Source organism: Homo sapiens, chromosome 5 (assembly GCF_000001405.40).
Source record: "Homo sapiens chromosome 5, GRCh38.p14 Primary Assembly".
NCBI lineage: Eukaryota > Metazoa > Chordata > Mammalia > Primates > Hominidae > Homo > Homo sapiens.
The window spans coordinates 110,418,445-110,431,105 of NC_000005.10; the positions used below are offsets into that span (position 1 = coordinate 110,418,445).

The window sequence follows — 12,661 nt, forward strand, 5'->3', positions numbered from 1 at the left end:
ATGAGAAATGCATGTTGCCAAATATTAAGAATTTTAAAATAATTTAAGAATAAAGGTGTCAGTATTCTGATTAATCATCTCTCTCTCTCCTTTTCTTCCTTTCTCTATATATCTATATATAAATATTTTTTTAGCTCCTTTCCAAGTCACCACTAAGACATAAAAAGGGTTACTTTAAAAAAAGGCATGAATCCACAAGAAGAAAAGATAATAGCATGTTGGAAGTATTAAGAAAATCGTGGAAGTAAGAAAGAAGGTGAACAGGTAGAAATACGCTAATCAGAGCAAACATAAACCTAAGTCTGCAGTGAGGAGGCCTTAAGGACCATGCCTCAGAATGCTAGAAAGTTTCAGAAATTGGAGATACCAGGTTTCTTTTACAAAGATGGTGCTGAAACAGCAGGATTTGTTGAAATTCTTTTAAGTAGCAGTTAGATCTCCAGAGTCCCCTTACTAAACCTTAGAGCTTAGTTGTTATATCTTGCTACAAACCAATAAAAAGATTACAAATTAGAAGGACGTTCAGAGTTTGGTAAGGCTCATGTCACTGATGGCTTTAATGAGAGAGAGGTTTGGATGGAAGGATGGGAGAAAATTGAAACCTTGATGGGTTTAGGAGTGAGTGATGAAGAGGGACTCAGAAGGAGATAGTGAATAGTTGATGGAACAAGATTTTGGAAGAGAGAAGATTTGGAGAAAAGGGACTAGCTGGTCTTCTATAGATTTTTTTTTTTCCTTTGCACAAGGGAAGAAAGCAAAGATGGAGGAAGGTATTTGGAAAGGTATATTGGGAGATATTTCTAGGAACTTGCATAGTCTCCATTTGAGAACACAAGCATAAGATAAAAGGTTTAGAAAGAGAAACATAAGTTTGAATTAGCTATACAGGAAATCAAAACAGCAACCTACAGGCAACATTTTTCTGCCATATGTTATTGTTATCTTAAACAAAGAATGATACTTAAATTCACATAATATAGGTCACAAACTTTGGCCCATGGATAAAACTTCTTAACTTGAAAATATGCTATTAAAAAATTAGTTGCCAACATTTGGTTACTTAGCTACTTTTATTTTGAAAAATAATCCCATTTAAAAGCTTCTTGAAAGGCTGGATGATTTTACAATACTGACATACATTTTGGAATGTAACCGAGTGATGGGAAATTTCTCTATATGGGATAGGTATTCCTTAGCCGGCTTCACTAATTTATGTTACCTTTCTGACCTGGTAGTCATTTGAGTTTGACACCCCTGATAAAAGTCTCTGTCTCTTGAGTATCACCAAGTCATCTGTGTGAAATCGAGGTATGAGTATTATCTATATTTTTCAGTTTTCAGGAAAGGAATATAAGACATCACAAAAACTCCACCCTATTACTCTTACTCATAGGTTCAGAACTTCAGATGAAGTGAAGTTCCATTTCTAAAATAACTCCTATTTCTATGAATGTCTTCAGCAGTTGCTCCTGGACCTTCCAGGTTCATAAGAATTCATTCTCATAAACTCACAGAACAGAGTAAAACCACCATCTCTCAGGAATCCCCTCTGGCATCTGTTAAAGATCAAGCCAATCAATCTAAGATGACCAGCCCTCCCAGATTCAAATCTCTGAAATAGGGTTTGTTTGGTTTGGTATAAATTGACTATAAAATGCCAATCAAATAAGATGCCATACTGTTTTTATTTGAATAATAGTAATTACAGGATTGTTAGTTTATGTTCATTCTGTTTTCAAGAAATAATTCTTATCTGGTGACCCATTAATTAATTTGTAATGAATTTCCATCAAACTGTTTGTTTGATGAATATCAATGTTCTGAGAATCAGTTATCAAGTATGCTGTACAATCATGAGATAAAGGTCAATTGAGAAAAATACTAGATGTAGTCTTGGAAATTTTTGACTAGTGAAATCACTTCATTCAAGTGTGATTAAAAGTTGGTCATTAATTTAGAACTAAGAAATAACTATTAAACAAACAGCTTGTATCAGGAAAACAAATTCTTTCTAAACAATACCTCCATTTAATGACAAGAAAGTTCTCTTACTATGTAGCTATCTTGGTATTTTTCATCCTATGTATTTCTGCCATGTAGTCCTCAATTTTGGGAGGTGACATTTTCTTTTCTAATTAAATTACTTCCTTCCTATAAGGAAGTTCATAGGGCTTGGTTTGCTTATGTAGTTTCTCTTCTCTTTTCTTCATAACTTCTTGAAAGTGATTTTTCTCTGCTAACTTTTTATCTTTAAGTTCTTGGGCCTTGCATATTGCATCTTCTTTTTCTCGGATCTTTAGCTCTTCCTGCCACTGTTACAGAGAGAAAACGTCATTCACATGATTTTCCATGAAAAAATGCATATCAGTTTAGCTGCTCAAAATGCAGATTCTTATATCCAATTATCCTTTCAGGTTTTTTCCATGACATTCCTCAAAAATTTTATATCTACCACACTGGCAAAACACATGTGTCACCTATTAGAATGCATGTAAGTCCCACAAAGCAGAATTTCCTCAATATATTTAAAGACAAAAAAAAAAACAATAAAAAAGAAGACATTATAGGTTTTGTATTTCCATATTCCAAATGGTTTTACGTTCTTCATCAATATTGGTATTTACATGACAGCATGGGTTATAAAATGAAGAACGAGATGAAAGCAAAACAGAAAGAAAAAATACAGAAAATACAAATTAAACAGAAAGGCAAAAACTCTAATACTATTCTCTATGAAGTTAAAAATGAAATTAATGGTCAGGTAAATGCATACTATGCAGAAGGCCAGAAAAAAAGCTCTAAAGAATTTATCTTAATTGGCCATGATAATTTTTTTCTTTTTCTTTTGCTTTCACTTAGTTTTTCACTTTATAACCCATGATGTCATGTAAATAGTAGTATATTGGAAGGCAAGAGCCATAAGAATGAGTAACACGTAAGTAATGATAATCAATCAAACATCATCATGAAAAATATATATATATATATAATTAGGAGGAACTTTTTTTCTCTTCTAATACATTTGATGAAGGAAATGATAAAAACAGATGGTGAACACTTTATGTTGGGTAAAACATTCAGGGCAGAATGACTCCTAGTATGCAATATTGGACATTCCTAAAGATACTGCCAATGCTGTCTTTTTGTCAGCCTCAGCTCATGCATATACACAAATGATCAGTCTAAGATTATCAACCTATCAATTAATTTGTAGATTACTATATATACCAGTACTGTGAATCACAAATAACATTTGTCATCTGGGATATTCAGATAATAAAAAGCAGAGCTAAACATCAGAGTCCATAGCATGTCACTCAGCTTTGACGAATGCATTAAAATTGTGTATAATGTTAATATACTCATGTTAAACATTAAAAATAAAAGCATAATAATATCAAATCCATTATTTATTCCCAGGTGAGTTTTAACTACATAAGAAATACAAAAGTTAACTGCACTTATCTTAAGGCTGTATTTCTAAACAGTTATTTCTCATATGTTCGGTTTCTCAGGAACCAGTTTTGCATAAAATGTATGGGAAATTAAGGCAAAACCTCCAGAATAGTCAGGCACAGGCTGAAATTCATGCCATGGTTTAGTCTACAAGTTCTATGATACTCAACTATGACACATTATTTTTCTCATATAATAAACTAATAATCTAGTTGTTTAAGAAAATTACCAATTTTATTAGCATAGAAGTTATAGTTGGTATAATAATGACAGTATCTATAAACAAAGAGCACTAATCTATCCTGTATGAAATATTTCGATAGATCTCATTATTTTGTTTTTTAGGCTCAAACGCCTGTAATCCCAGCACTTTGGGAGGCTGAGGCGGGCGGATCACGAGGTCAGGAGATGGAGACCATCCTGGCTAACACGGTGAAACGCCGTCTCTACTAAACAAAATACAAAAAAAATTAGCCGGGCGTGGTGGCGGGTGCCTGTAGGCCCAGCTACTCGGGAGGCTGAGGCAGGAGAATGGCATGAACCCGGGAGGCAGAGCTTGCAGTGAGCCAAGGTCACACCACTGCACTCCAGCCTGGGCCACAGAGCGAGACTCTGTCTCAAAAAAAAAAAAAAAAAAAAAAAAAAAAATTGTGAAAAATCAAAAGAGAATTAATTCTTAAGAACTGCCAGCAAATTAAAATTCTTGGTTTGCCAAACAGCATGTATAAAAGCATCAGTACATATAAAAGCAGCCAAGAAGGGGTATCATATCATCACTGTCCAGAAGACAGCTCTTCCCTCTTTCCCCCTTCTTAGAATTTGGAATGGCTGAAATTCACCATAACATCAAAATCCTTCTTTTCATTAGGCTTAGGAAAAAGCATACTTTCTTTTTGTCTCTGGTGACCATGACAACAGATCAATTTGGGTAAATAATTGTATTTTTTTACTTTATATACCATTATTATTGTCTATTGTGGTAGCTAGAAGGAAGCAAAAAAATAGATATGTTTGAAATCTATGGGAAATGGAAGCACCATTTACTGCTTTATTCAACTTATTCACTCAGTGATTCAATGATCATGCTATGGAATACTAGCAATGTATAAGGTACCTTAATATCTCCTAAGCAATGAGGTATATTTTCTATTCCCTGCATATGATAACCCTTCAACAAAAGTCTGTTGGCTTAGAAGGAGAATTATATCTGTAGCTGAGGGGATGTGTTTTTGTTATTTGTCGATATTGCAGATCCCATCCTCCCACTTCTAATTCTGGTTAGGAATCATAAGCCAAGAACTTCAGCAGCTATGAAAAAGTGGAAGGGAAAGTAGATTTGGAGTAGGGAAATCTGTTTTTGGGAATAGACTCATTTACTTAAAACATTGAGCAAGTAACTGAATTGTAAGCAAGTTTGTTCTTATTTGTAAATGATTTATAGGGTTGTGAGGATTAAATTAACCACTGCAAGAGCATTTTTGTAAAGCATAAAGTATAAATACAAAACACTATTGCTACACCCATCTGAAAATAAGTGATATATACATGAATACTGAAAAAAATAAATATAATATTTAGAGACAATTCAATAAACCTTCCAAAATCAGTACTATGAATTACTAGTTTATTAGGCTAGCCGCACATCAAACAATTTGGATCTATAAGTTTTCAAGCATATTTTTGAAAAAGATTTATTTATCCTTCTTTAGCTACAATATAAGCAGGTTCATGGCAGTGATTACTTGGATAGTGCTTACACCCTTGGAAAAAGGAAAAGATGATGGATGGTTGTTAGGAGCTATCTCTGTATCTCTGTCATTCATAATACTCTCCTCTGTTTCTTTAGCCCTAGACAGACCAAAGTAGTTATTTATGCGTGCGTGTGTGTGTGTGTGTGTGTGTGTGTGTGTATGTGTATGTGTGTATGTGATGTTGGCAAACTGCTATTTCATAATCTCTTCTAGATAATTTAGTTGAAGTAATGAGTAGGAAAATATAGATGTTGAAATTTATAAACCATTTGAAATTTTTGAAGATGACCTGTACATATATTGGTTTAACAAAAACTTTATTAGTGAATAATAGAATATTGCAGCTCTCGTTTTGTCATTTCAAGGTATCAGTCAGTCTCCAAAGCCCAATACTTATAGCTGTTGCTAGAGTGGCTTAATTACTAGAGATGTGGTGAAAACTATTTAATGTGATCAGTAAATAAAATAATCTCTTCACAAGATTACTACTTAAAAGTAGTGTGAAAAAATTAATTGTTAATTTAATTGCAATCTGAGAGATAATATTGAACTACTGGTGATAAAATTAAGTGCATTATATATGCTATATATTTTATTCAAAGAAAAAACCAGAAAAGCATTTTCTCTCATATTTTAATTCTACTCTTTAAAAGAACGAGGCATAAAATGATGTGTATTTGGTTAAGAAATTATCAACAAAATATAGCACAATGAATTAAAGTATCTTCTGTGAATAGTCTTGTATTGCCACTGCTTTTTAAACTCATACTAAGAACAAAGTGATTAACAGTCTTTCTGATCTGTCAAGGGTAAAGAACGGTCACTGAAAATTGAGCCAAAAGATTTTTGTTCTGTTATTAGAACTACACTGCAGAAGAAATCAGTGTTCAGTGTTCAATATAAGATTCTTGTCACAAGAAATCAGTACTAATTCAGAAAACAGGATTAGGTTAGTATTTTACAAATGACAGAAGGTCAAATTTTCTGCAACCCAATGAAGACACTGGTGTACAGATAACATAGTGAGATATAATTCAGTTTGGCAAACCAATCATGGCTCTACTTTTAAATTTCACATATTAAGGTTTCAGTCTCAGAACTACATTTTATCATTTAAAGTGCTTTTAAGGAACAAAGCTTTTGCTGCTAGTTAAAAAAAAATCAATCTTACGTGATGGTCAATGATTTTTGCCAACTCTTTATCTGCCTTGGTGAAGAAATCTGGATATGGAAACATGGGAATTTCTGATACAGAAGGATGTTCCCTTCAAAAGAGCACAAGAACAAATCCAACATTAGGTATAGGTACTCCTATTCCCCAGAAATAGAATTGTAACTAAGCCATAATTTATTATTAAGCATTTTGATTCTTCATTGTTAACATAAAGTATTTGTGTAGACTATGGTATGTTAGCTTTTAGGTTTTGTAAGCCATCTTGGGTCACTGAAACTGATAATTTTGAGGGTAGGACATGACATATAGGATGATTAAAGTGCATATCCCCATACACAGCTCCACAACCCTGAAAGTTCTGGTGGAAGCCTAAGCCTAAGAATTTGTTCTAAGATATGCTGAAAAAAATGATGTGATTTCAATACATTTCCAAAGTCTTTGTATTACTAAGGGTGGAATTGTGGTAGACAGATTAGCATAGTTCAGTGAAATTGTTGGCAGTACAAAGCTGGACCTCAAACTAAGGGAGACTTAGTGTTAAATTATCCACATAATTATTGTATTATTAAAGTCATTATGAAGAAATTGTGTGAATCCAGGAACACTTAAAGTAATACAGTGATAGAAGGTGGTTTTGAGGGTGGGAAAGTGGGGGTAAAGGAGAAAGTCTTAGGGAAGAGCCTAAAAAGAGGCAGCCAGTGAGAAATTTCCATATTCAAAAAAGTCTAGTCAATTTTTAAGACTGGAACTAATTTTTTTCTGGTTTCTGCCTTTCCCATTCCAGTGTACTCTACATTCTTGACACCCGACAGTCCCCTCATTTCATCAGGTTCTGTTTGTCTATTCTGCACTAAAGGCTTCTCAAATCTTCCCAATTACCTTCATCTCCACCATCACTTCCCGAGGCCAAGCCACCATAATCTCTCACCTGGATGAAGGCTTCATGTTCAGAATTCCTGCATCCATCATTCCTTACCCACTTTACTCTTGTCTCTATACAGTAGCCAGAATTGTTTTCAAAATACAAAGTAGATCATGTCAATCTCCTACATCAAACTGTTCATTATTTCTCCATTAGCTTTAAGATTAAGATTACATTTGTTAAGGAAGCCTGAAGTAAACTGTGCATTTGTTAAAGTGGTTTTGCCTGGTTTCTCCAGACTTCTTTCTTTCCTTTGCTTGCTTGGGTCTATGCATCCCTAATGCACAGGCTTTCTTGCAGTTGCTGGAATGTAGGTTGTTCCATCCCACTGTTGCTTGTTTTCACATGCTGTCATTTCTTTCTCTTATGCCTTTCTCTTTCTCCTTCTTCTAGCCCTGCTGCAGGGCTGGTTAATGCCTACTCACCCTTCAGCTCTCAGTTCAAGCCCATTACCATAGCTCTCAATCTACCATGGATATTTTCTTCCTTATACTTACTTCAAGTTGTAATTTTACATTTATCATGTCCCTGTGTGAGTTTTATGTTTTCCTGAGTAGAGTATGAGCTACATGATCATGGATACTTTTGCCTGTTTGCTTACCATTGTTTCCTCAGTGCCCAACACAGTGCCACTAGATATTTAATGAATGTTTGTATGTTTGCTGAATGATTAAATGAATAAATGAGAACTATGATATGCTTTAATACTCTTGATTTTCCAAGCCATCAGTAAGAGTCTACCACACAACACTCTTGTGTTAGTGGAGTAGTATCCAGTATTGCAAATGGAGGGCAATCTCAGGAGACATGTTGAGAGTAGAGTTGACAGTAGGAGTTCAAAAGAAAACAATGGAAGTTACAGGCAACCAGGAAAAATGGAACCCTCTCCCAACTTAATTAATATTCAGAAACATTGTGTGGGAGAAAAGCACTGAGCTTCTTAATGCATGCAGAATAGGGCCTTTAGCCATTCTATTAAAGTACTGTATTACAGAAAAATATGATCCTAGAAAGCTGGGGACATGTAGAGGCTGACAATTGGTTTAACTAAATTCATTCAGTGAAATTTGGGCAGTTTTGGTATTCAAAGAATTGTGCCAAATGCTATAAAAAGATAAATAAAACAGAATCTTAAAATCATTTTAAGGTTAAAAGTGTTCAAGCAAATTGCCTAAAATTTTTTCTTGAACAAGAATTGTTTAAGTTTTAAAAAATGTAGGCAACATAATATCAAAAGACCTTTAACATGGGAAAAACAAATGAATATGCTTATACATCTGTGATTTCTTAGTTACCTCAGTTGAATTTTGTGCTAGAAAATAAAAAATTATAGAGAACATAATGAAAGATAACACGAGAGAAGTAAACATTCAGGGATAGAAACAGAAAAAATATATAGTAAAATGTCTAAGCATATAGGCTCTCTACTTAGGCAAATCTCAAAGCAAATTCTGGTTTTACTACTTAGTGTTATTTAATCCCTCTGTTCTTCAGTTTCTTCATCCGTAATACTGAAAAATAATAGCACCTGCCTTATTGTTTTCACAAGGAATAAGAAGGAATTAGATATAAATCAAACATTAAACAAGTTTCAGCTGCAATATCTTTATCATATTCATTGTCAAAAGAATTCAGAGGAAAAAGCCATGGTGTTTAGCTGTATTATCAATTGTAAGAAAAAGGAATGGAGGACTAGACAATTTTGTCGGCATTAAATGAGATGTAGAATTTTGACATTTGAAGTTAAATGAACAGTAGAGAGAGACTTTTCAAGAAAGATGGTATACTAGTTTCCGAGGGCTACTTTAACAAATTACCACAAACTAGGAGGCTTAGATAAACAGAAATTCATTCTCTCATAGTTCTGGAGGAAAAAAAATTCTAAATCAAAGTGTTAGCAGTCTTGGATACTCCAGAAGCTTTGGGGAAAAATTTATTCCTTGCCGCTGTTAGCTTCTAGTGGCTGTTGGTTCTTTGGTATTCCTGGGCTTGTAGATACTTCACTCCTGTCTGTGTCTCTGTCTCCACGTGGCTTTTTCCTTCTGTGACTCTGGGTGTCTTCTACTGTTCTTTTTCATACAATGACATTTAATTTTTTGTTTTTTATTTTTTTGGGTACACAGTAGGTGTATATATTTAAGGGGTATATGAGATGTTTTGATACACACATGTAATGCATAATAATCACATCATAGAGAATGGGTTATACACACCCTGAAGCATTTATCCCTCATGTTAGAAACAATCCAATTATACTTTTTTAGTTATTTTAAAATGTACAATTAAGTTATTGTTAACTATAGTCACTCCATTGTGCTGTCAAATAGTAGGTCATATTCATTCTTTTGATTTTTTGTACCCATTAACCATTCCTACCTTTCCCCCAACCCCCTACTTTCCTTCCCAGCCCTGGTAACAATCCTACTCTCTATGTCCATGAGTTCAATTGTTTTGATAGCTTAAGGACATGTTTTATAAGGATACTGTCATTGAATTTAAGGTCCACAAAAGCAAGATAGCCTTAACATTCCCCTCAGTTTCCCTAAACTTTAGACAGGCCTCTGACCTCACTTTCCTTAGCACAATATTCACTTTAGAAAACTTTCAATTGTAAATTTTCTGTCTGCACTTTTGAGATATAAATATTCTCCCATCCTCTTGGTAGTTTTATAACACAGGAATTTCTTTCTCAATGACCTGGAGCCATCTCTTTGAAAGATATCCTCAAGGAAGATAGCCACCATCTGCCCAGTCTCTGTGGGAGGTCTAGGAGCCTAACTTAGGTAAGTGACAACAGCAAACACATCAAATTGACCTAATCACATGAATCAACATACTTTCTAATGTGCTCCAGTATGTTTCCACTAGCTAACCCCAGCACTTACATATCCTCCTGTCTTTTTTTTTTTTTCCCCAGAAGAGTTGAGTTTAATTTCTCTCCTCCACTGCAATAGTCTTGAATAAACTCCTCTTTGGCTGCTTAATTTGTCCAGTACAACTTTTCTTTGACACATTATAATTCAGGATAATCTCATCTCGAGATCCTTACTTTAATCACATCTACAAAAACTCACTCTCTCTCCAAAGAAGGTCATATTTATAGGTACAAGGGGTTAAGACTTAGTCATATCTTTTGGGGAAAACAAACCTGGTACAGATGACAAAACAGGAACAAAGGCTCAGGAAAAGAAAATAAATAACTCATTTCAGAAAATGTATGTAGACTGAGATGGCTGGGACTGAGATTACATTGAAGTGAAGAGGAGCTGACTAATTTATTCATGTATTCAAACATTTATTGCAAGGGGAAGTTGTTATTAGGAGTGGGAAAAAATAATAAGAAGAAAAAGCTTAGATTCTTCTCTCCAGAAACTTGAAGTTCACATGGGGGAAGACATATAAACAGCCATTCACGGTATACCGGGAAAATGGCTGCAAAATATGTTTCTTTCGAGTAGAAAGGTGGGGAGCTGGCATCATTTAACTTAGTCTGAGAGTGGGTAAGAGAGATCTACCTGGATGGATTATGCAAGATTGTCCCAATAGGATGATGATTAGATTCATGAAAAGATACATATAGGACATGTTCAGTTTCTTTAACAGTTCAAGGATGAGAAATGTGCAAAGATATTTACAAGAAAAGGGGGGATAATATATTTCTTTATGCAGAATTATGGTTTTTCAAGTCTCCAAAGCTCTCCTGAAGACATACTGGTAAAAAGTGAGTGTCCCGTTAGGCAGGAGATATTCCCCAGGAGCAGGAGACATGCATAGGTTTCAGGCTTCTTTATTCCTACATCTCACACCCTCACCTAAGATCTGGCTTGGAAGCATCAGTTGAGCAGATAAAATATTGTTTTTATCTCAGGAAAACTAAAATAAATAACCATTGGAATTATCCAATGAGGGGAAGATATTTTATCAATTAAACAAACCCTAGAACTCCATTCTTAACAATTGAATGTCTTCCCCCCTTATCCCACTTTTTGAGGAAAACTGGGTACCATAGACTCACTGGTTGGTATGGCTTTTCTCAGTATATTTAGTCTCCTTTTTGAGATTCATCATAGATTAATGACCTCTCACTGATTTCAAACACAACTTGTTCTAATTAATTGTGTACATTGTTTGGAACCTTACCTTTTAATTATTTGGCTACCATAACCTTTTCTTTAGCTAACTTTCTTGTCTTAGTTCTATTGCAATTTCTTCCGATGAAGGCCTTACTTTCTGAAGGCAAGAAGTCCATGATATAGACACTGTCCATGGAGCCTTGATTTCTTTTAGAAGAGAATGATAGTAGAAACCTCAATCTGGAATATGTGGTGGTATATTGGATGATTCCCCAAAACTTCTGGAGTTAAGAGGGATGATATCAGAAAAAAAAAACTAATTAAATCATTCTATAGCATAAGAAAAATCATCTTATATCAAAATATCATAAGTTCATGTTACTTTTGATTAAATTAACTTTCTTTTTAACTTTCTCTAAGAGCTTATTGCTCAAAGTTTTCTCTCGTTTAATTAGCTTTGTGGTATTATACTAAAGAGGGTCAATCATATTATGTATTGAAGTTGCACCTACCATCTCCAATACTTAGACGTTTCCTTTTTTTTTTTGTTCTCAGAGCCCAAATAGGTTAATATTCAGATTGTCACCTTAATACTATCCCTGAAGCAATAATTACTTGAAAGGAAAATAAATTCCTTCCTCTCTTCAAGGTAAAGTTAAAATATATGCAGTTTCAAAAGAGCTACTATTTCAGATAGAATAACATAAAATCAGCAAACAATAGCAATAGAACTTAACAATACAGACAAATAAATGCCTTTGAGGGTTTCTAAAAATATGTTTTTGTTTTCCTCTAAAATTTCACTTAGTTTTTTTCCCATGGTCACTAGTGTCATAATCATCGATCATGGGAATTTTTATGTTAAATTCTAATTTATTATAAACATTTGAATAAATACAATCTCAGTATTAAATAAAATTTTCAATAACCTTTAGGATTTCTGTTTGTCACTAAAGTGATAGCTTGCAGCAGATCAATGACCTGACAGATAACAAATGCTATGAGAGCCAAAGATTATTTTTAAAAATCTGTTTAAAAGCATTCATGATACATTAAGCAACAGGATTTGAAAGGCCAATGTATCAGAGAGGAAGGACCTGGAGAAGTAAGTAATGAGCTGCAAAATATACTTCTCCTTAGAGCATTTATCCTTTTATTTTATGGATTGAAAAGTGAAAAATCCCGGCAGAGAAATTTTGATCAGAACTTGAGAAGCCAGGAGAGTACTTGGCAATCTTACAGGGTTGACAAAGCAAAAAAGAGTTTAGAGCTGCCGAGGTAGCCA

The 12,661-nt window shown here is 34.1% G+C and overlaps 1 protein-coding gene across 15 annotated transcripts in view; it reads right to left on the reverse strand.

Moving 5' to 3' along the window:
• TMEM232 (transmembrane protein 232) overlaps positions 1–12,661 on the reverse strand; it is a 351,524-nt gene that overhangs the window by 31,014 nt on the left and 307,849 nt on the right. For 9 of the 15 annotated variants that reach the window (XM_047417493.1, XM_006714670.4, XM_011543555.3 and 6 more), the window contains 2 exons: positions 6,379–6,472; positions 1,052–2,312 (listed from right to left, as the gene is read on the reverse strand). The exons of 2 other annotated variants lie outside the window; for them this stretch is intronic. In XM_047417493.1, coding sequence (XP_047273449.1) covers positions 2,136–2,312; positions 6,379–6,472 — 271 coding nt within the window. In that variant the 3' untranslated portion in view covers positions 1,052–2,135. Of the gene's footprint in view, positions 1–1,051; positions 2,313–6,378; positions 6,473–11,443; positions 11,658–12,661 lie in introns of those variants that run through there. 4 more of the 15 variants (XR_001742181.2, XR_007058620.1, XM_047417492.1 and 1 more) reach the window with 3 other exon arrangements.